Source organism: Homo sapiens, chromosome 18, assembly GCF_000001405.40.
Source record: "Homo sapiens chromosome 18, GRCh38.p14 Primary Assembly".
Taxonomy (NCBI): domain Eukaryota; kingdom Metazoa; phylum Chordata; class Mammalia; order Primates; family Hominidae; genus Homo; species Homo sapiens.
In genome coordinates, this window is record NC_000018.10 from 12254212 (window position 1) to 12277638 (window position 23427).

At 49.3% G+C, this 23427-nt stretch overlaps 1 protein-coding gene and 1 long non-coding RNA gene across 4 annotated transcripts, besides 3 other annotated features; both read left to right on the forward strand.

Moving 5' to 3' along the window:
• The first annotated feature begins 149 nt into the window (after positions 1–149).
• On the forward strand, positions 150–23384 carry CIDEA (cell death inducing DFFA like effector a). Of its 3 annotated transcripts, NR_134607.2 has the most exons (6): positions 150–745; positions 8614–8758; positions 9389–9655; positions 10096–10242; positions 19882–20063; positions 22912–23384. NR_134607.2 is itself a non-coding variant. In NM_001318383.2 (5 exons), the coding sequence occupies exons 1-5, from the start codon at positions 606–608 to the stop codon at positions 23057–23059; spliced, it is 762 nt and encodes a 253-aa protein (NP_001305312.1). In that variant the 5' UTR covers positions 150–605; the 3' UTR covers positions 23060–23384. The 3 variants fall into 3 exon arrangements, 2 of the variants coding, with proteins under 2 accessions (NP_001305312.1, NP_001270.1); NM_001318383.2 differs by lacking the exon at positions 9389–9655; NM_001279.4 differs by lacking the exon at positions 9389–9655 and having other exon boundaries at positions 150–210.
• On the forward strand, positions 802–3245 carry LOC105371996 (uncharacterized). The gene is made up of 2 exons (XR_935158.3): positions 802–1220; positions 1368–3245. It is a non-coding gene; the product is annotated as an uncharacterized LOC105371996 (long non-coding RNA).
• Positions 4048–4548: an enhancer, noted in NCBI's record as "H3K4me1 hESC enhancer chr18:12258258-12258758 (GRCh37/hg19 assembly coordinates)". NCBI's record gives its function as "activates a minimal SCP1, AML or CMV promoter by ChIP-STARR-seq in naive H9 embryonic stem cells {active_cell/tissue: H9 hESC(naive)}" and the evidence as "EXISTENCE:reporter gene assay evidence [ECO:0000049][PMID:30033119]".
• Positions 17631–17810: a silencer, noted in NCBI's record as "silent region_9307". NCBI's record gives its function as "represses an Ori minimal core promoter by ATAC-STARR-seq in GM12878 lymphoblastoid cells {active_cell/tissue: GM12878}" and the evidence as "EXISTENCE:reporter gene assay evidence [ECO:0000049][PMID:35858748]".
• Positions 22061–22684: an enhancer, noted in NCBI's record as "H3K27ac-H3K4me1 hESC enhancer chr18:12276271-12276894 (GRCh37/hg19 assembly coordinates)". NCBI's record gives its function as "activates a minimal SCP1, AML or CMV promoter by ChIP-STARR-seq in primed H9 embryonic stem cells {active_cell/tissue: H9 hESC(primed)}" and the evidence as "EXISTENCE:reporter gene assay evidence [ECO:0000049][PMID:30033119]".

Genomic DNA, 23427 nt, shown 5'->3' on the forward strand with positions numbered 1-23427 from the left:
GCTCCCAGAGCGCGAAGTCGCGATCCTCGGCGGTGGAGAGCTCGTGCCAAAACGTCCTCCCCTGCGCCAGTCAGGCCTTCGCGGGGCTGGCAGGCGGGCGGGGGCGGGGCCGCCGCACTTTAAGAGGCTGTGCAGGCAGACAGACCTCCAGGCCCGCTAGGGGATCCGCGCCATGGAGGCCGCCCGGGACTATGCAGGAGCCCTCATCAGGCGAGTGCCCCGCGTCCCCCTGATTGCCGTGCGCTTCCAATCGCCTTGCGTTCGGTGGCCTCATATTCCCCTGTGCGCCTCTAGTACCGTACCCCGCTCCCTTCAGCCCCCTGCTCCCCGCATTCTCTTGCGCTCCGCGACCCCGCGCACACACCCATCCGCCCCACTGGTGCCCAAGCCGTCCAGCCGCGCCCGCGGGCAGAGCCCAATCCCGTCCCGCGCCTCCTCACCCTCTTGCAGCTGGGCACAGGTACCAGGTGTGGCTCTTGCGAGGTGCGCGGGCGTCTGCAAACCAGGTGACAGCTGGCGAGTGGCTGCATGCATCTCTGGCCGCTGCTGCAGTCGCGGGCGCAGAAGAGGGTCCGGTCCCAGGAACCCCGAGCAAAGCTTCCGCGATGCGAGGGGACCGGGCTTCTGGGGGTCCTGGAAATCACAACGGGAGCTGGGCGCGGGAGGGGCCCAGGCTTGGCCCCTCCTGGAAGCGCGGGCTCTGGTCTCCGAGGGGAGGCCCCAACCGTCCGGCGGAGCCCTCCAGGTTGGTGGTGCTGGGAGAAGCGCTCCTCCTTGCCTCCGGGTCCAAGGGCGGAGACGCTGCCTGGGGAGCAGGGGGGACAAGGGGCGGGTGGACCCTGAGGAGTCTTCCCTGCGCTTCGCACCCGCTCGTGGTCGAACAGGCAGCATTGGCTATTTTCCTGCTTGGGTTAATATTCATATCCCAACAGACCCAAGCCAATTCTTGGTAAAATCCTAAGTCATTGCGTGGCAGCAACTGTAAAGTAAGGTCTAAGAGGGAGATCGTGTTTCTCTGAAGATCAAGTACCTGGAAAAGGATAGAGAACCATTTGCGGGCTTGAAGGTGCAGGCGTTCAGCGGCGCCGGGTCCCACTGTGTGTGCTACGTGTGGCGGGCAGAGAGACTACATGTGTGAAAGGGAGCGGTCCGGCTACGAAACGCAATCTATGAGCTTCCAATCCCGGGTTCTTAAATGGGAGCTGTTGTAGACACTGCAGGTTAGAAGCATCTTTCTCTTTAAAAATAAGCCCACAGTACAAGTCGGGGCGGTGGCAGGGGGACGCTGAGAAACACCTGCTTCGTGTATGGTCATTAACACGCTTAGGCCTAAAGGTCAGGGCCCTGTATCTTTTGCGTTCTTCCAGAACCATCCACACCACAGTCCCACTTCCAGGAGGGGAGGTCTTAGCAGTTTGGAATGCGTCCTTCCAACCACTTTTCCAGTGAATTCACAACACACCCACTGTTCCTCCGGAGCATGGGGGAAGGAGGTGTGGGCTGACTCGCACTAACCAATCCTGGTTGGCCTCTGAGCAGGATTCAGGCTGAGCCTGTCCCTGCCTCTGACTATTATAACAGCTCACCAAAATCCAAAATGCATCTGTGTGGGGTCTCTGTGAGGTCGTGTGAAGTGGAAGTGACTTGCTTATGAGCTGTTGACAAATGAAACATTGGGAAACCTTGAGTCTCCTAGGACACATTCCTTCCAGCTTGGCTCATCCCAGGAGTGAATGACTCTACCTGTTATGGACAAGCTGTTGCTGCAGTTCTTTGAAATCTACCTGCTTCCAGGCTGAACTACTGTCATTCTGTGAAATCTACCTGCTCCCAGGCTGAACTACTGTCATTCTGTGAAATCTACCTGCTCCCAGGCTGGACTACTGTCATTCTGTGAAATCTACCTGTTACCAAACTAAACTGGAAGAAAACAATCTGTAATTCTTGTTGAAGGGAAAACACCTTTTCTTCCCTGCCCCTCTCTAAAACCCTGTCCGGGCAAAAGAGCCAGAGGCCAGGTCCTAACATATTTGCTAATTGTGCTCTTGCTGGACTTCGGCTTCCTCTCAGGGTTCCTTAATTTAAACCAGGTCCAGGATGTCATAATTCTGTCTTTATTAGTAACTACATTTTACCAAGGAAAGAACCGAATCAATGTGCACAAAAATTTTTAAAAATCAGGTACTTGTAGTCAGTGGTGAAACCTTAACCCAGGCATTTGTTAGTCAGCTAGAATCGTTAGGGGCCTTGGTCCTGAGGAAAGCAGCCTGAGGTCTCACAACAAAGCTCCAGACATCAAGGAGGTCCACATGCAGGTTGACTATCACAGACAAAGTCTGCTCTGTTCCTGTGTTCTGCCAGTGATAACATTCCTGCCAAACGCTGAAGTTGTTATGAAGCTGGTACATGTTATAAGCTTCGTGTGAAATGGCTGCTTTCATAGCTATCTAGCACATTTTTCCTTTCCTTGAACAAGGAACTCTAGGTTTTGTGCTGCTATTTCAGTACAAATTTCACCAGTCTTCTTAGTGACATTAGTAAGGAATTAAGTATGCTACAAGTCAATCTCTCAGCTTTCTGCTTCTTGAATTTAAATTCTTATTTTAACGAAACTGCAAAGTGTTCAAAGACTTCATGGTCATGTATTGAACACTTGATAATGTCAAGCCTTTAGGTAGCTTGCGAAGAACTGAGCCATGAACCAGGCAGTCCTTGTCGGGGCGAGTTTATCTGGGGGGTAGGTGTGCTCCCACCTGCATATGTCACGTCCAAGAGCCCTAGGGGAGCCGGGCAGCAGGAAGTCTCGTCAAGGCAGCACTTGCTTCCCTGCTTCCTGCCACTGACCCCACCATCCTCTGACACTGTCTCTACAGCTCAGGGACTCTTCTCCAGGCCTGTGGAGCACTTTCCCAGCCCTCCCTTCCTTCTCTGCGTGGCTGTGCTTGACCTCACACTTCCCTCCTTGGCATTCCCTGCTGCTCTTGGTGACAGTGCTCGGTTGGCTTCTGTCCAATTCCTGTGTACTGCTTCTTCCTCCCACGGTGGCTGCCTCTTTTTCTTCCTAATGATGAGATGCAGAGTTCCCTCAGCCATCACTGCCCCCTGAATATTCCCAGGCACTATTTTACACAGCCTGTACTGCTGCCCCCTCACCCATGACACCAAAATATTTCACTTTGAGGAAGACCTTAATACTGGGCCCTTTTCCTCCATAGGTGGCATGTAAAGAAAGCTTTTTAATTCTCTGTACGGCTCAGGTTTGTTTTACTGGAGAAGAGTTCAGGTCTACTGTCAGTCTGTGGCTTGTTGGTGTATTTCACACACTTTTGGAAGTTGGCGGCGCCCTGCCTCCCTCGGGGCAGAATACAAAACCTTCCCTTCCCACCTGTTCCTGAGAGACATGCCGTTTCACAGCGTTCTATGAAGTCTGACTTTTCCTCTCTGGATTTCTGTGAAACAGCCTACTTCCTTAAACAAACTGTTTCCTTATATCTTCCCTGTTAGAGGGTTATTTCCCTTTCTGTTTCCTGTGGTTGTGTGCCCCCACTTTCACAGGAATTAGGAGCGGCAGTTCTCATGTGTGGTGTGTCTAAACGCAGGATCCTAGGGCCGCTCAGTGGCCCTGCTTTTAGGCACGGTGCTGATGGCCAGTGATAGAGATGACTCTACTCAGCGGGCTGGAGGTGACTTGGGTGGAGACGGTGGCTTGTTCATGTAGCAGCAGATTCGGTACCTGTAGGGTCCTGGAGTACATAGGCCTGGCGTGCAGAACATCTCATTCAACCCCTTTCTGTGTTACATATGAGACAGCCTTGATTTTACATAATTTGACCCAGAAATCACTCACCTCCTCCTTGACAAGAAGGTGGGGTGTAAATTTCCTTTCCTCTGTGCCCCCACCAGCCTTTCCTCCAGCAGTGACGCAGCTCTTGGTTTGGAAATGCTACAGGTGAGAACAATAGGTGTTTTTTCACTGACGATGGCAATCTTGAGGGCAGGTGAAGGCAGGGAGAACCAGAAATGGTTGCCAGCTCTTATCTTGTCAGACAGGTAAAGACCGCAGGAACCTGGAATTAATCATCTGGGCCAGGTCACCGGAGCACAGGTGCTTACGAAGGCGTGAGCATGTTCGTCCAATGAGGAGATGCAGGGCCAGGGCTGCGCCTTTGACCACTGGGGCTGGACCTAGCATTGGAAGACATGGACCATGTTCTCTCATTTCTCTGATTTTGGCCTAGCATCTTTCACTCAGTAAATAGATGGCGTGCTGACAGGCGCTGTGGGAAAGTAGGAGATGCACCGCCAGACTCCGTGAGACAGATGCTAGAGGCCTTGTGCAAGACTGTGGTGACTTCCTGCCTTGGGGGCGAAGAGGGGCTCTTTCTCGCTGCTGAGGCCGGGCCCTTCTCTCTTGTGGGAGCCGCGTCTTCTGGCCAGGTGCCGCACCGCTGGGTGGAAGCCGGAGCTGGATTCAGACCCTGGTCTAGCCTTTGCTGCCCTGACGATTCGCCTCCTGCTTTCCCCAGGCCTAGGTTTCACTGTAAGGTGGATCCCAAGGAGTGGTAAGGCAAGGCGCTAGCTCTCACACACGAGGGTTTGGCATCCAGCGGCACTTGGGCCTTTCTGTCACCCTCCTTGAGGGGACTTCAGCTAGTTTAAATTTCAGCTGCCATGATGAGGTGGAGGCGACGCCAGGGTTCTGAACGTGAAATGTAACACAGCCCGTCCTCACCGCCCTCTCCCCCCGGGTCACCAGGAGTGAGAGTGTGCCCGAATTCCCCGTGGTGTCAGCACAGCAGTGTTGTTTATGGCATTGTGTAACTGAGAACCCTGCGTCACTCTCTTAATCGAGGTGACAGTTCAGAAGCTGTGTGCCAGTCCTGGGGCCGCGTTGGTGCACAGCCCGGCCGGGCGAGGCTCTGATTGGCTAGGTGGGTCCCTGGCAAACGTGTGCGGGTCATTCTGACAGGTCCGGAGCCCCAACCCAGCACATTTCCCTCGGGCTTGCCTCATTGAAAACAAACTGTGTAGCAACTTTGTCTACCCAGAAGGGAAAGGCGTTGAGGGCATGAACTCGAAGCGCTGCTGTGCTTTCAGCCATAGAGCAGCTTTTCCGCACAGCCCTCTAGATAGATGTTTATTGCTTGAGATTTGAAGTTCAGAGGATGGATAACAAAACAACCTGCTCCCACAACCAAAAAAAGTCTTGGCTTTGGACAGACCTGGGATCAGGTTTTATCTTTTTCCCTTATTGACTGGCCCACTTGGAGAAGCCACTCTGAGCCTCAGTTTTCTCATCCGTGAAGTGGGGCAATAGTTTCCTTGCAAGGTTGTGAGGATAATTTGCTAATATTAATTAATATTGAATTAATGGGCATGGTGGTGCACACCTGTAATCCCAGCACTTAGGGAGGCCAAGGTGGGCAGATCACGAGGTCAGGAGTTGGAGACAAGCCTGAACAACATGGTGAAAACCTTTTCTTTACTAAAAATACAAAAATTAGCCAGGCATGGTAGCGGGCGCCTGTAACCCCAGCTACTCAGGAGGCTGAGGCAGGAGAATTGCTTGAACCCGAGAAGCAGAGGCTGTAGTGAGCCCAGATGGCATCACTGCACTCCAGCCTGGGCAACAGAGCGAGACTCTGTCTCCAAAAACAAACAAACAAAAATTGAACTAACATTAACAAGAGCTGAAATTGCTAATACACTGCTGGCCATGGTGCTTAGATGCCAGCAGTTATGAGGCCCTGATGTCATCCTGGCCAAGGATACTCCAGACCAAATTCTTGCCAATGACCTTGGTCTGGTTCTAGAACGACACTTTGTTGGTGAGGCACCTGGAGAAGGCACAAACACTCACGATTATGGAAAGCCTGAAACTGGGATCAAGCTGGTAGCGTGAACTCAACAAGGCGATTTTTGAGAGCCAGCTTGTTACTCTACTCTCAGGTTTTTGGTCTGTTTTTTGTTTGTTTGTTTGTTTGTTTGTTTGTTTGTTTGTTTTAGAGACAGTGTCACTCTTTTGCCCAGGCTGGAGTGCACTGTGGCCCCAATCTAGGGCTCGAGCAATCCCCTTGCCTCAGCCTCCCAAGTAGCTAGGACTACAGGCATGCACCACCACGCCTGACTAATTTTTTTTTTCAATTTATTTTTTGTAAAGATGAGGGTCTCACTATGTTGCCCAGATTGGTCTCTAACTCCTGGGCTCAAGTGACCCTCCTGCCTCAGCCTTCCAAAGTGCTGGGATTACAGGCATGAGCCATTGCACCCAGCCAACTATCGGTTTTTTATATTACAAACAATTTGGTAAGTCATTGAATTTTCACTTGGATCCATTTGCAGAGCTTTAAGTTAGATAATATACTATCTAAAATGTATGTGCCTACAACTAAGCTAGGTATTACAGGAAATATAACAACGAAGTCTTTATCCATACAGAAAATAAAGCATGGATAGATGGCTGTGTGTCATAAAGTGCCAAATCGCAGGTGACAGGCATTGGCAATCCGTGCAGGTGTTCCCTAGTATTTTAGCATTCAGTGAGTTAATCCAGAAAAACTGCTCTAAGAGTCAAAAAGCAGTGATGTGCTCACTTTGTGTCTTTTTCAAGGTTGTCCTGAAACTACACCCTTTGTTTCATTCTCTTGAATGTCCGTGTACAAGCATTTGTCCAAATAGCCACTAATTTGAGCACCTGTGGTAGGTGGGTGCTCTCCGGGGTGAGGGAAGTGTCCAGTCCTGCTCTGTGGGGGCATGGGGATTCAATGAGGTCACACAGATGCCACTATCACGGTGCCTGGCTCTAGGTAAGACCTGAACCCTTGCTGATTTCTGATTGTGTTATTTGCAATCATTTTGTTATGAATCTATTTCTGAATGTAAAAAAGTCGGCCAAGAGTGCTGGCTCACGCCTGAAATCCTAGCACTTTGGGATGCTGAGGTGGGTGGATCACTTGAGGTCAGGAGTTTGAAACCAGCTTGGCCATCATGGTGAAACTCAGTCTCTACTAAATATACAAAAAATTAGCTGGCCATGGTGGTGCACGCCTGCAATCCCAGCTACTCAGGAGGCTGAGGCAGGAGAATTGCTTGAACCCAGGAGGCGGAAGAATCGCTTGAACCATTCCAGTCTGGGCAACAGAGCGAGACTCCATCTCAAAACAAACAAACAAACAAAAGTCTGCGGTCCTGGGTGAAAACTCTACATGTGGCTCTACTGGCCCCCCTTCTAGTGACAGCAGCAGGGTAACTGTGTCTCCCCTCTTGGAGTTATTTTTATAAAATTTCATGCCTTCATGCTTTTTGGTTTAAAAGCATGCAATCATGTGTTGAAGGCAGTTTCCCTTTTCTTTTCTTTTTTCTTTTTCTTTCAGTTGGAGTCTCACTATGTCATCCAGGCTGGAGTACAGTGGTGCAACCTTGGCTCACTGCAGCCTTGACCTTCTAGGTTCATCCGGGCTCAAGCAATCCTCTCATCTCCACTTCCTGAGTAGATGAGAGTATAGCTGCACCACCACACCCAGCTAATTTTTTTTTATTTTTATTTTTTTGTAAAGACAGGGTCTCACTATGTTGCCCAGGCTGGTCTCGAACTCCTGGGTTCAAGCTATCTTCTTGCCTCAGCCTCCCAAAGCACTGGAATTACAGGCATGAGAGCCACCATGCCCAGCAGGTTTTGCATTTCTTAAATTGCTATCAAAAGCTTCATCTGGGAGGCTGAGGCAGGAGGGAGGACTGCTTGAACCCAGGAGTTCAAGACCAGCCTGGGCAACAAAGTAAGGCCCTGTCTCTACAAAAATACAAAACTCAGACAAACATGGTGGCTTGCACCTATAGTCCCAGCTACTCAGGAGGCTGAGGCAGGAGGATCGCTTGAGCCCAGGAGGTCAAGGCTGCAGTAAGTTGAGATCACACTACTGCAATCCAGCCTGGGCAACAAAGCAAGACCCTGTATCTAAAAGGAGAAAAAAAAAGTAAATTTTTGAATTAATTCTTTGATAAATGTGGACTTAATCCAAAGTGTCCTGTGATGTAAGCCCTGAAGGTCTTTTCTTTCTTGTGATTCCAGCCACAGTTCTAAGGGTGGTTCTGCTGTTCTTGGTTCCTCCTAAGTTGATTTCAGAAACTTCATTGATTGCTATAGTGACCAATATTGCACTTTTGAATTGATTTCTGGCTTACCCTTATTGTGTAAACATGTAGCTATGTGCACGTGTCTGAGTGCACTGAGTCTCTAACTCTGCGTAACTACTTCATGGCCACTAGAAATCATTCTTTTGGATTTTTTAAATCTCCCACCCATATTTGCAGAATATAATTCTTATTTCTTGTTTGAGTTGAATTCCCTAACCATTCCTTCTCAAAGAGTTTCAGCAAGGACTTTGGATGTTCTAGTAAAATAGGAATAAAGATGGATGTGTGTTTTGGCTTGATGTGTTACTTGTTTCTTCTTTGGAATTATGTGTACACTTGTATATATAATTTTTAGTAATCCCAACAACTGAATTTCTTTCTTTTAGATGCAAATATTAAAAATGCATTATTTTTATGTACTTTCACACTTCTTCTGACAGACTCTTTTTAAAAAGTTTTACTTTTCACCTCCATTTTCAGGCCCCTGACATTTATGGGATCACAGACTAAGCGAGTCCTGTTCACCCCGCTCATGCATCCAGCTCGCCCTTTCCGGGTCTCCAACCATGACAGGAGCAGCCGGCGTGGGGTGATGGCAAGCAGCCTGCAGGAGCTCATCAGCAAGGTGCCCCACATCCCGCACCTCTCCCCCAGTCCACAGGGGTGCCCTGCACTCACACAGGGCCATGGTCTTGGGCTCTAAGCCAGGGCCAGCACAGAAAGATCAAGAAAAGCAGCATCTCACTGGGGGGAAACGGGGAGAGAAATTGGGAATGACTGCTGGTGGTTATGGAGTTTCTTTTTCTTTTTCTGTTTTTGAGACAGGATCTTGCCATGTGGCCCAGGCTGGCCTCAAACTCCTGGGCTTAAGTGATCCTCCCACCTCAACCTCCCAAGTGCATGCCAGTTTCTTTCTTGGGTGATGAAAGTGCTGTAAAATTGATTGTGGTGACGGTGGGCCAACTCTGTGAGCATACCAAAAACCACTGCACCGTATACTTTAAATGAGTGGATCATATGATATGTGAATTATACATCAGTAAAGCTGTTTTTAAAAGAGGAGGAAAAGAAAGAAGGAGAAACAGCAAGTTAAACTCATCAGACCCTCTCTTGGCCTCAGAGACTCTGAGAGTAAAGGTTAGGTATAAATGATCAAGGGGAACATTACATCTCTGTACCATAAAACATTGAGGTACAGAGACAAAAACCTTAAAACAGTCACTAATGGAGAATGTTGCTTTGTTTCTTTGACAAGGGAGGATGCAGGGATGGAGCCGACTTTGGAAGTCTGGGTTTGGTTGTAAAGGCCAGGATCTAGAACAGTGTCCTAGACCACCAAATAAGGAAGAATCCCAGCCTCTCAGAGAAGCATAACTCAGACTCAGGCACCCATGGAAACAAGAAACAAGCATCCAACATGCAGTCTCTGAAGCAAGAGAGACACTCAGCTACGCACACGAGGCTGTGGCTCTTACAGCAGCAAACATGCAAGAGCTTTCTTTTTATTCATCTAAATAAATAGGTAATCTTAGAAATTACAAATATTATTTAATGTAATCATTACCTCATGTATCTTAAGAAGACAGATCCATTAAAAATCTTAACTTCCCGGCCGCATGCAATGGCATGTACTTGTAGCCCCAGCTACTCCGGAGGCTGTGGCAGGAAGATTGCTTGAGCCCAGGAGTCTGAGGCTGTGATGCACTATGATTGTGTCTGTGAATAGCCACTGCACTCCAGCCTGGGCAGCATAGTGGGTCCCCATCTTAAAAAGAACATTCTTCACTTCCCTGTTTCCAAGCAAAGACTGAGTCATAGACACAAGTCAAGGTTACCTTTACCATTAAAATTTTATCAGAATCAGCCCAACACTTTTGAAAACTGTAACTTAATAAATGTCATTGGCTGGTCACATGGAAATACCTGGCTTCACTCCATTTCTCTGATGTGTTGCACACCTAGACTCTGGATGCCCTCGTCATCGCTACCGGACTGGTCACTCTGGTGCTGGAGGAAGATGGCACCGTGGTGGACACAGAAGAGTTCTTTCAGACCTTGGGAGACAACACGCATTTCATGATCTTGGAAAAAGGACAGAAGTGGATGCCGGTAAGCAAAAACACTGTCACCCAAACAGCTACTGGGTAGACTTTTTACCTACAAATTTGTGTGCCCTACTTGGGTGTTGACTTGTCCACTTTCTTTCTTTTTTTTTTTTTCTTTTTTTGAGACGGAGTCTCGCTCTGTCACCCAGGCTGGAGTGCAGTGGCGCGATCTCGGCTCACTGCAAGCTCCGCCTCCCGGGTTCACGCCATTCTCCTGCCTCAGCCTCCGGAGTAGCTGGGACTACAGGCACCCGCCACCACGCCTGGCTAACTTTTTGTATTTTTAGTAGAGACGGGGTTTCACCGTGTTAGCCAGGATGGTCTCGATCTCCTGACCTCGCGATCCGCCCGCCTCTGCCTCCCAAAGTGCTGGGATTACAGGCGTGAGCCACCGCGCCCGGCCAACTTCTCCACTTTCTAAATATGCACTTTGTATTCACCTAACAACTGGATCCACTGCCCTCAAAGGGATTCTTACAAATGTTTCTAGGAAACTTAGTCTCTCTGTGAACTGAGGCTATTTGATATAAAGCAAATAATTCCAGGGAACAGGCTTTGGCCAGTGAGTAGCTACAGATCCTGTAAATGCACGGAATTGACTTGGCAACTCTTCACCATCTCTGTTCTTAGAAGGCTGGAGAAGTAAACACCATCAAGGAAGTTAGGGAGAGGGGTGTGTGTGCATGTGTGAATATGGAGATTTAGAAAAGTAAAGAGACAGAATGAAGCCTTCGGTCTCTGGGAAAACTATAGATGATATAGCCCAAAAAACCTTCTCAGTATAAAATGCCTAAAAATGTAAAGCACAATATCAAAATATCTTTTCACATAATAAACTGATCTCCAAGAAAGAGAAATCCTCAGTGGTTAAAATGTTGAGGCCAGCATCCAGAGAGGAACACGAACACTGAAGCTGGCAGTTCCCCAGGCATCTCCTCTGGGGTTCCCCCACCTGTGAGCACCCACAGACCTCAGGGACAGATGCTGGGAGGACAGGAGACAGCCTCCAGCTGACACAAAGTCAAGGGGTGAGATGTGAGGGTCTGCGTAAAGCAGGGAATCTTAGAGCTCTCTCCTGGCAATTTGGGCCACAAGCTGCCCTCATGAGGGTTTAGGCATTGCTGAGTCCCAAACCCCTAAGCTGAGAGTTCGGTTTTCAGAGATCTGGGGGAGTAGCATCAATGGAGGGGTTTGCTCATTGGATTCTCTTTACTCCAGCCCCGTTTCCAGGATTGATAGTGCCCCAGGTAACTAGCAGGAGCTCAGGCAGTTCCGCTTGGGATGAACATCCATCCTGGCCTCAAAGAGTTTTCATTCGTAACGTTCTCACAATGCAAGTTCACAATCAAAACACAGAACGTAAGGACTCAGGCACCACATTCATGAGAGTAAGCAGAAGCAATCAAGTCAGGCCTGCCAGGACCGCAGATGTTGGAATCATCAGACATACAGTATAAAATTAGTGTACTAAAAATGCTCACCCATGGCTAAGTTTGACTGACTAAATAAATAAATTAATTAAATGCTCAAAGAAACATTAAAAATAATCTAAAATAAGAATAGCTAGGAATTGAAGACCAGCCTAGGCAACAGCAAAACCCCAATCTCCACCAAAAAAAATTTTTTTAAGGCTTAGCTGGGCAAGATGCTACACACCTGAAGTCCTAGCTACTCAGGAGGCTGAGGCAGGAGGATCACTTGAGCCCAGGACTTGGATGCTGCAATGAACTATGATCACACCTCTGCACTCCAGCCTGAGTGACAGAGCAAGACCCTATATCAAAAAAAACAAAAAATAAGAAAATACCAGCCTGAGCAACATGGCAAAACCCCATCTCTACCAAAAAATACAAAAATTAGCCTGGCGTAGTGGTGCATACCTCTAGTCCCAGCTACTTGAGAGGCTGAGGCGGGAGAACCACTTGCTCCTGGGAGGTCAAGGCTGCAGAGAGTCATGATTGCACCATTGCACTCCAGCCCCAGGGACAGAGGGAAACCCTGTCTCAAAAAATAAAAATACATTAAAAAGGAACAAGAGCTAATAAGAACTGACTATACAGATTTGAAATAATCAAATAGAATTTTTGGAAATGAAAAATATAACAACTAAAATCAAGTAAATGGAGACTCAGGTTAGACAGAGCTGAAGGTAATGATAAAAGATCTGAAAGATGTTGCCTGTGATGTAACACAAAGCAGTAGAGGTGGGGAACACGAAGGATGTTAGAGACCAGACTGAAATCTAATCTCTCTCTCTTTGGCATCCTCACGTAGGGAAGGATTTTTTTAAAACAAGATACAATGCACAAGTCATTTTTTTTTTTTTTTTGAGACAGAGTCTCACTCTGTTGCCCAGGCTTGAGTGCAGTGGTGTGATCTCGGCTCACTGCAACTTCTGCCTCCCGAGTTCAGGTGATTCTTCTGCCTCAGCCTCCCGAGTAGCTGGGACTACAGGCACGTGCCACCACGCCTGGCTAATTTTTGTATTTTCAGTAGAGATGGGGTTTCACCATATTGGACAGGCTGGTCTCGAACTCCTGACCTTGTGATCCACCTGCCTCGGCCTCCCAAAGTGCTGGGATTACAGGTGTGAGCCACCGCACCCGGCCGATTTTTTTATTTTTAAGATATAGGGCAACACACTCCTCTACTACCACCAACAGCTACTTAATGCAGCAATTTGCTTCATCTCAGAGAGTGAGGCACAGACTATGACCCAGCAGCTGCTTTCCTGGGCATGAACCTGAGATTCCAACAACACCACGTCAGCAGGTGTGTGTTAGAGCGTCCATGGCAGCAATGCCCTAAGTGGTGAGAACAAACACTGGAAACAAATCATGTACCCTTGCAGCACACACGTGTGCCCAGCACATAGAAGTACTTCTAAGTAAATACACACGAAGAAACTGTAATGTGGTCCCTGAACAGAATGCTCTTCAGCTGTGAAAATGTGTGAAGTTCAGCTACAGGCATCCATGTGGATACACATCAGCTATGCTGAGCAAAAGATCACAGGATAATACAGTAAACAACGCATCCTCAAACTTTATCTCAGGACCTCTTTACTCTCCTAAAAATTAACGAGGACCCCAAACAGCCTTTGGCATGATCTCGGCTCACTGCAACCTCTGCCTCCCTGGCTCAAGTGTTTCTTGTGCCTCAGCCTCCCAAGTAGCTGGGATCACAGGCAAGCCACCACCACGCCTGGCTAATTTTTGTATTTTTAGTAGAGACAGGGTTTCACCATGTTTTCCAGGCTGGTCTTGAACTTCTGACCTCAAGTGATCCACCGGCCTTGGCCTCCCAAAGTGCTGGGATTACAGGCATGAGCCACCACACCCGGCTTGTATCAATAAATTCTATAGACATGTGCCAATCAGAGGTTCTGAGCTGCAGAGACTTTGTCCCTTGGGGGACATTTGTTAATGTCTGAAGACATGTTAGGCTGTTGCATCTAGTGTGTAGAGACCAGAGATGCTGCCAAACATCCTGCAATGCACAGGACAACCCCGACAGCAAAGACTTATCCAGCCTCCAATGTCGTTAGTGTCAAGGTCGAGAAACTATAAGCTATAGATAGATATAGATATTCCCAATAGTCAAAATTGTTTTTTGTTTGTTTGCTTGTTTTTTGAGATGGAGTCTCGCTCTGTCGCCCAGGCTGGAGTGCAGTGGCGCGATCTCGGCTCACTGCAACCTATGCCTCCTGGCTTCAAGGGATCCTCCTGCCTCAGCCTCCTGAGTAGCTGGGATTACAAGTGCCTGCCACCATGCCCGGCCATTTTTTTTTTTTTTTTTTTTTTCATTTTTAGTAGAGACGGGGTTTTGTCATATTGGCCAGGCTGGTCTCGAACTCCTGACCTCAGGTGATCCACCCACCTTGGCCTCCCAAAGTGCTAGGATTACAGGCATGAGCCACCGCCCCCAGTGGTTTTTTTTTTTTTTTAATTTGTTTGCTTTTTGTTTGGAGACAGTCTTGCTCTGTCGCCCACTCTGGAGTGCAGTGGCACGATCTCAGCTCACTGCTACCTCGACCTCCTGGGCTCCCCCACCTCAGCCTCCCAAGTAGCTGGGACTACAGGCATGTGCCACCATGCCTGGCTGATTTTTGTATCTTCTTGTAGAGACAGGGTTTTGCCATGCTGGCCAGGCTGGCTTCAAACTCCTGGTTTCAAGCTCCTGAGCTCCAGCGATCCACTACCTCTGCCTCCCACAGTGCTGGGATTACAGGCGTGAGCCACCCCGCCCAGCCAATATTCAAATTCAAATTGTTTGGAAGTTACTGATTAGCATATTTTTGAAAGAAATTAAAATTCAGAAATTTAAAAATAGGTATTAATTCATTAAAAGTAATAACCCAATACAGATTAACTTAACTCACTTTTTTTTTTTTTTAGATGGAGTCTCGCTCTGTCGCCCAGGCTGGAGTGCAGTGGCGTGATCTCGGCTCACTGCAACCTCCACCTCCTGGGTTCAAGCGATTCTCCTGCCTCAGCCTCCCAAGTAGCTGGGATTACAGGTGCCTGCCACCACGCCCAGCTAATTTTTGTATTTTTAGTGGGGTTTCACTATGTTGGCCAGGCTGGTCTTAAACTTCTGACCTTGTGATCTGCCTGCCTCAGCTTCCCAAAGTGCTGGAGTTGCAGGCACGAGCCACCACGACCAGCCACCAGGTTAATTTAACTCATATTTTTATGAAAAGTGACTATTTTCCAAAACAAAAAGATGGAGGAACGGCATTTTTTACATTTTTGTAAATTTCTTTAATGTCTGGCTTAATAGAAGATTCTTATATCTGCTTCTTTATATTCAGTCTGTTGTAACATATTGTTTTGATGGAAGTATGAAGAAAATCCATCCTGACACAGATATGCAGCTGGGAAAGGAGGAGGATTTTAATAGCCTATTCAGATAACTGAGGATATTCTTTTTTTTATATTATGCCAGAACTCACCAAGTCATGGTTTCAGAATAGTGAGTTGAGGTGTTTTCAGAAAGGTCAGATGCAGCGTGTAATCTGAAGGTATACCAGTGAAGTTGGCCTCCTCTGTTACAGTGAATCCATCAGTCCGTCTTCCATTTTGAATGGACCTTTTTCCTGGGGATGATTTTGTAACAGCAGGCGTTGGTCATTGAGAAAAACTGATTCACTGAGTTATGCAGGTTTTCCAAATGTGCTGTGGAAACAGCACTTCTTGTGAGAACAAAGAAGGCAAACTGCATCTTACTGTTTATTATGGCCTTTCTTTCTCTTTTTCTTTTTTTTCGAGGCAGGGTTTGCTCTGTCACCCGGGCTGGAGTGCAGTGGCGTTATCTTGGTTCACTGCAGCCTTCACCTCCTGGGCTCAAGGGATCCTGCCACCTCCTCCTCCCAAGTAATTGGGACTACCGGTGCATGTCACCACACCCAGCTAAATGCTTGTATTTTTTTAGAGATGGGATTTCTCCATGTTGCCCAGGCTAATCTTGAACTCCTGGGCTCAAGTGATCCACCTGCCTCAGCCTCCCAAAATGTTGGGATTACGGGCATAAGCCACCGTGCTTGGCCTAGTTTTGACCTCTCAGTCCCTTAATAGGGCCTCAGGATTCCTGGATGTCTCCAGATTACACTTTGATAAACTCCACATCAAATCATTTACAGATAATTCAAAAATATGCAAAATTAACAATATAATGTTTGAGATACACATGTGCTAAAAATAGAGAAAAGTAAGGGGAAAACGCATGGCATAAAAACCTCTTGAGAGGAGGGGAGATGTGGGAGGTGGATGGGGTCTCTAAGGGATGGCAGTGTGTAGGTTTCATTTTACGTCTTTCTGTCCCTTACTTCTACATATATTATACATATACATATATATTATATATATAACCTCACAATTTTCCTGACTGGGAAAGAAACCACAGACCAATTATAAAAGCATAATATTTAGAATAAAATGTAATCTTTAATGTAGATGAGGGCTGGGCGCAGTGGCTCACACCTGTAATCCCAGCACTTTGGGAGGCCAAGGTGGGTGGATCACAAGGTCAGGAGTTCAAGACCAGCCTGGCCCACGGGGTGAAACCCCGTCTTTACTAAAAATACAAAAATTAGACAAGCATGCTGGTAGGCACCTGTAATCCCAGCTACTTGGGAGGTTGAGGCAGATAATTGTTCGAACCTGGGAGTTGGAGGTGCAGTGAGCTGAGATAGCACCAATGCACTCCAGCCTGGGCGACAGAGCAAGACTCCGTCTCACAAAAAAAAAAAAAAAAAAAAAAAAAAAAGCAGGTGGGGAGATGTCTGTAGATGAGACTATTAATTGTGGGGTGAATTAGACAAATCATTTAAAGCAAATATTGGTCTGCATGGCTTTTTGCTTGAGGAAAGTGTAACAGCAAAAATAATGCCCCCACAGACCACAGACACCTCTGTTTGTTTTCTTTTCTTTTTCTTTTTCTTTTCTTTTTTTTTTTTTTTTTTTTTTTGAGACAGTTTTGCTTTTGTCGCCCAGGAGGGAGTGCAATGGCGTGATCTGGGCTCACTGCAACCTCCACCTCCAGGGTTCAAGTAATTCTCCTGCCTCAGCCTCCCGAGTAGCTGGGATTACAGGCGCCCACCACCACGCCCGGCTAATTTTTGTATTATTAGTAGAGACGGGGTTTCGCCATGTTGGCCAGGCTGGTCTCAAACTCCTGACCTCAGGCGATCCACCCACCTCGGCCTCCCACCGTGCTAGGATTACAGGCGTGAGCCCAGGCGGCCGGACAGACGCCCCTGTCTTAATCCTCAGCCGTGGCAGATGGGATTAAGTGAAGGTTACTGGGGCGGGGTTGGGGTGGGGTTTGTCCTGGATCATCTGGGTAGAGGCCGAAGTCTTCACAAGGGTCCTTATGAGAGGGAGGCAGGTGAGCATGAAGGCCAGAGGCAGAGGAGGAGGAGAGATGTGGGGTACCCACCAAGGCAGGCGCCCAAGAAGCCGGGAAAAGCGAGGGGCCGGGCCTGCCCCGCAGCCCCCACGGCGGCCCTGCGCCCTGGCTTTGACTCTGACCTCGGCAGTGGGACAGCATTGGTGTGTGGGTTTCATGCCACTGAGGTTCTGGTCGTTTGTTACAGCAGCAGTAGGAGATGGGAAAGGCGGGTTTGTTTTTCTAAAGGAGACACTCAGCTAACAGGGAGGAGTTGGTGGTGGGCGCTGGGAACCTGGTTGCAGGGCAGGGTGGTGGGGGCGGTCGATGCCACGGGTGTAGATGCCACCGCCGGCCACGCGCTCCAGGGGGCTCGCGGCCCCCGTTTCGGCTGCGCAACCACCTCCCTGGATCCCAGCCACCTGTAGGCCTTTCTGGGCAAAACCAGTTTAGACTGAGACCAGAACGCTGGAGCAGGAAGCCGCCAGCAGGTGTCTCGCTCCCCGGTCCCAGCGCCCTCAGGAAGAGCGCGGCCCCGCAGCCCCCGCCCGGCGAGGCCCCAGCGGATCCGCGGCGGGAGGGCGTCATAATTTTAACCAAGACTGGAGACATTTAGGGAGAGTAAAATTAAAACTTTCAAAAGTCAGAAAGGGATGTGAGGCTCGGAAAAAGAGGCGCGGGACGGGAGGAGAAGCCCTCTCTGATGCCAGGATCTGAGCTTTCCAAACACGTTTCCCGGCTGAGGGCTCGCTGGCGCCCCCAAGAGGCCGCTGAGAGAAAACGGCCTCAGCCTCAGCTTTGAGTGTGTGTGTGGGGGGGGGGGGTTGGGGGGGGGTTGTTGTTGTTGTTGTTGTTGTTGTTTGGTTGGGTTTTTTTGTTTGTTCGTTTGTTTTGAGATGGAGCCTCACTCTGTCGCCCAGGCTGGAGTGCAGTGGCGCGATCTCGGCTCACTGCAACCTCTACCTCCCAGGTTCAAGTGCTTCTCCTGCCTCAGCCTTCTGAGTAGCTGGGATTACAGGCGTGCACCACCATGCCTGGCTAATTTTTGTATTTTTAGTAGAGACAGGGTTTCGCCATGTTGGCCAGGCTGATCTCAAACTCCTGACCTCAGGTCATCTGCTCGTCTCGGCCTCCCAAAATGCTGGGATTACAGGTGTGCACCACCATGCCCGGCTAATTTTTGTATTTTTAGTAGAGACGGGGTTTCGCCATGTTGACCAGGCTAGTCTCAAACTCCTGACCTCAGGTCACCTGCTCCTCTTGGCCTCCCAAAGTGCTGGGATTACAGGTGTGAGCCACTGTGCCCGGCCTCAGCTTTGATTTTTAAAGTAATAAGAGGGAGCTACAACCGCTTAGAAAAGGATGATGAAGTCAACCTCACCCGAGATTCCACCTCACAAAATTTTATTTTCTTTTTCCTTCTTTTTTTTTTGACAAGGTCTTGCTCTGTCATCCAGTCTGGAGGGCAGTAGCACAATCATAGCTCACTGCAGCCTCAACCTCCTGCCCTGTTCAAGGGGTGCTCCTGCCCCAGCCTCCAAAAGTGCTGAGACTACAGGCATGAGCCACTGTGCCTGGCCACAAAATGTTTCCTGAAAGACAAATTCAAGTCAAAGACAAATGCCTGATATTTGTACCTTGGGGCAGCTTTGCTCTCTTATATTTTTAAAGTGTCACAGGAGGGAGAGCTTTTAGTTGACAGATTCCTAATCCATACATACCCCAGATCTATTCAAACAAATTCTGTATGATCCGAATTAGAGGCTACAACTGGAACCACAGGTGGGTTTGTCTGTATGGTGGGACAGGGGAATAAAGAAGGCTGGCCACGGCGAGGAGGGTTTGGGTAATTTTAGGGGTATTTACATTTTAAGTTCCCATTCATGAGGTCACTGTCATTGGTGAATTTACCATTCACAGCTTCAGCGGCTCCCAACCTCGAAGGCTCACAAGACCTAGTAACCCTGTGTAGACCCGAATCCTGAGTGCTGCAAGATCTGTATGTGGCACAAGCCACTCAGAAAGAACAGCTCCTGGCCTGTCATTTGTACTGGGGGCAGCTTTGCTCTCATATTTTTAAACCATTTTGTGGGGAAAATTCTGTTCCGGTGCTGTTTATAAACCTGGGATGTGTAGAGGTCACTGACTTCCTCCTCCCACCCAGGGGGGTCTCCTCCCACCCAGGGGTTCTGCTGCATGGCTTTGGGCTTCCCCATGGAGTCCGCTCTCAACCCTGGGGGGTTATTAAAACACAGAGGTGCTCTGGGAAGGTGCCCACTCTGCCCTCACTTCAGCCATATGATTCTGGTACTTTCCACCCAGTAGCCCCCATAAAATTGAACCAATGCTGCCTGCTTCTCCATTACCATAACTGTGTTACAGTGATGAGATGAGATTCTTTTGTCACCAGGTAACCATGGTGGCCTCCAGGGCGAGTGGGTCCCCACCACTCATCAGGGCACATCTATCCACTGAGCAACGGGGTCCTAAAATCCAGGCCCTGACGCCACACCAGACTCACCCTGAGTCCGGAACTGAAGGCAGATCAGGGACAGACGCCTCGTGGCTAATTGGACACAGTCGTAGTGTGTGCAAATGGGTCCTGCTGAAAGCATCTCTCTATCGATTAGCCACGGAGCCGCTCACAGACCTTAAACAGACACATAGGAGAATCTGAAGCTGGCATAAGAGCAGAGTGATGACGTGGGAGGGTTAGGAAGGCTCCTGAAGCCTGCCCCTCCCCCCATTGTCACAGGGCAGCCAGCACGTCCCCACTTGCTCGCCGCCGAAGAGGTCGGGAATAGCGAGAGTCACCTTCGACTTGTACAGGCTGAACCCCAAGGACTTCATCGGCTGCCTTAACGTGAAGGCCACCATGTATGAGATGTACTCCGTGTCCTACGACATCCGGTGCACGGGACTCAAGGGCCTGCTGAGGTAACACACTCCAGGGGTCACCTCCGGGGGTCTGCAGACTGCACAGGGTGTGGCACAGGCAGCAGTCCCCACCCTGTTCCTCTGGGCTCCCAGGCCGGCTAGCACTGTTAGGGGCAGTTGGAGTAATGTTGTCTGGAGGTCAACTCTTATCCCACAGGCTCATCTCACACAACAGAAAATCTCAAGCCAAAACAGATTTATTTCTTCCAAAGACCACTAACTATTCATTAGAAACAAAAGCTAAATAATAAATATAAAGAGGAACCACATTCATTTTAAGAACTAGAGCACTTAATTCTAGGTGATGATGACTAAAACCAGAGCCATGGAGGTCGTGGCCGGGTTTGTACAGAACGGTCACCTAGACCCTGGTGAATCACACGCCTTTGCATGTATCTCCTGTACTCCTGATAACTTCAGCCTTACCAGTAATGTGGCATGGGCGTGTGTCCTCTCCACATAATGCCAGGGCACCGTCATCCCAAAGACGAAGGCCAGGCTGGTTGCACAGCATCCCAGGAAACAGAACTTTTAGAAGACAGACTCCTGATCCAGCCATACCCCAGACCCATTCAAACAAATTCCATGTGATCAAAAGGAGCCTTCCTGGGTGTTCCTGCCCCATAACTGGGTGCCACCCCTGCCATTGAGCCTGGGACTGAGAGAAACACCAGCAGTCCCTGCTCTAAGGAATCAGCTGTGTGACCTTTCACAGACTCCTTAACTTCTCTGAGCCTTGCTTTTATCATCTTTAAATGAGAAGGTTGGTCAGGCATGGTGGCTCACACCTATAATCCCAGCACTTTGGGAGGCCAAGGTCAGCAGATCACTTGAGGCCAAGAGTTCGAGACCAGCCTAGCCAACATGGCGAAACTCTGTCTCTACTAAATATACAAAAATTAGCTGGGCGTGGTGGCGGATGCCTGTAATCCCAGCCACTCAGGAGGCTGAGGCAGGAGAATTGTTTAACCCCAGGAGGCGGAGGTTGCAGTGAGCTGAGATCCGCCACTGTGAGCCATAACCACACCACTGCACTCCAGACTGGGTGACAGAGCAAGACTGTGTCTCAAAAATAAATAAATAAACAAACAAAAAATAAATAAAATGAAAAGGTTGCTTCCAAGCTCTTTATGATTGCCAGGGCTCTAACTACACCTACTTCTACTCCAGTAAATTTACCGTTGATCCTTAAAGAACTAACCTCTGTGGAGGGAGTGGATGGGAGAGTGGCTGATTGCAGTAGAAAGGTCTTCAAGTCGAAAAGTTTTGCAGCTGCTGCCATTCCAGTGCCCCCTGCACGTCCCTGTGGGCAGGGCCGCCCGTTTCTCTTTGAGGGTGTTGTTTCCGTCCCCCGTGGCCTTGACAACTGCTCTGATTTGTGCTGAGCACAGCAAAGGGGAAATGCCCTCCTCTCAGAGGTCTCCTGGCCTCACCTGAGGTGGGCCAGGGTGTGTGGCTTCTCTGTGGCCTCAGTTTCCCATTCAGAGCCATCAGTGGCTGACTCTAAACTACAGTCACTGTCATAGTGTTGGAGTCTTGACTCCCAGGAGAGCTTCCTTTTTTTTGTCTTTTCCTTTTTGCCGGGTTAGGAGAAAATAGCTTTACACTTGGATTTTAAAAGTTAGGCAAGAGAGTTACAACAACTGAAAAAGGTAAGATGAAGAAAGCTAACCTCACCCAAAATTCCACCTCAGTGAAATCTTTTTTCTTTTTCTTTTCTTATTTTTTTTCTTTTTTGAGACGGAATCTCACTCTGCTGCCCAGGCTGGAGGGCAGGGGCACGATCTCAGCTCACTGCAACCTCCTCCTTTCAAGTTCAAGCCATTCCCGTGGCTCAGCCTCCCAAGTAGCTGAGATTACAGGCATGCACCACCACACCCAGCTAACTTTTGTATTTTTAATAGAGACGGGGTTTCACCATGTTGGCCAGGCTGGTCTCAATCTACTGGCCTCAGGTGATCCACCCACCTCGGTCTCCAAAAGTGCTGGGATTACAGGCATGAACCACATTCCAGGCCCTTTTTCTTTTTTTTTAAGAAAGAGGGTCTCACACTGTCCCCCAGGCTGGAGTGCAGTAGCACAATCATAGTTCACTGCAGCTTCCAACTCTTGGACTCAAGCGATCCTCCCACCTCAGCCTCTGAAAGTGCTGGGATTATAGGCATGAGCCACCACACCTGGCCACAAAGTCTTTCTTGAAAGACAAGTTCAGCCTTCTTGTTACTAATTTGTATTCTCTGATAAATCCGATGACACCACAAGCAGCCATGGAACTCACGACAGCCCCCACACTGGAGGCACCGCCTGCTAGGGACCCTGTTGTGGGTGCTGGGGGCAGTGGGCCCTCCTGATGAGACAGCTGCCCAGGCTTGGCTATCGCATCCCCATGGGCTCAGTCACTGCTGAATGTCCTGCTACTACCTTAGGAAGGGAAGGGATTTCAGTAGCAGGGCCCCTAGAACAGCCCAGCAGCCGAAGCCCAGGACACAGCACACCTGTGCGGGTGCGGCCATCTGCTCCACACAGAGCTTGCCAGCCACTCAACAAGCAGGCCGCACTTCAGGTGGCTCATGGGAGCCGTGCTTCTTGCGGTGGTCTTGGGCCAGCAGCAAGGGGGTCCTCAGGGAGCTCACAGAGACCTGCTCCTGGCCAGACCCACTGCCACGGCAGCTGCATCTGTGCCAGCCCTGGGACACGTGCACTCTGAGAGTCAGACAGCCATGCTCTAAATGTCAGCCTGGCCTCCTCCGAGTGCCTTTTGGTGGGGGGAGTGAAGTATTCCCATCCTGTCTGTTTCTCACTGGCCCAAAATCCCAAGCTAAAGCCTCCCCATCTGCCTCTGCCACAGGAGTCTGCTGCGGTTCCTGTCCTACTCCGCCCAGGTGACGGGACAGTTTCTCATCTATCTGGGCACATACATGCTCCGGGTGCTGGATGACAAGGAAGAGCGGCCATCCCTCCGGTCACAAGCCAAGGGCAGGTTCACGTGTGGATAGGGATGCAGGCTGTCGCCGGCTCTTGAGCCAAACACTGTGTTTCGTTTGGCTCAATGACGAATGTTGAAGATGCTTTTATGTTCTGAGCCACATGCACTTGGAGGCCGCTGGTCACGCTGCTCAGGAGTGGTGCCCAGAAAAGGAAAGGGCTTGGTGGTACATGAAGTGGGGGCAGTGGGCAGGGTGCCCTGGGGGGGAGGCATAGAGGGCCCTGGGGGTCATGGGAAGCGAGCACGCAGCAGGCGTGCCCAGGAGCGTGTGCATGTGTCAGAGCCATTTGGTCCATCATCTCCTGCAATAAACCCATCGCAAGAATGACCTTCAAGATGTGTGACACTTCCTGTGTCTCCTTTATCTCTCAGAAGAGC

Coding starts and splice junctions, on each gene's coding strand:
- CIDEA (NM_001318383.2), top strand. CDS start 606: ATGCGAGGGGACCGGGCTTCTGGGGGTCCTGGAAATCACAACGGGAGC. Junction 746..8,613: donor CGTCCGGCGGAGCCCTCCAG/GTTGGTGGTGCT, acceptor CTCCATTTTCAG/GCCCCTGACATTTATGGGAT. Junction 20,064..22,911: donor GGACTCAAGGGCCTGCTGAG/GTAACACACTCC, acceptor CCTCTGCCACAG/GAGTCTGCTGCGGTTCCTGT.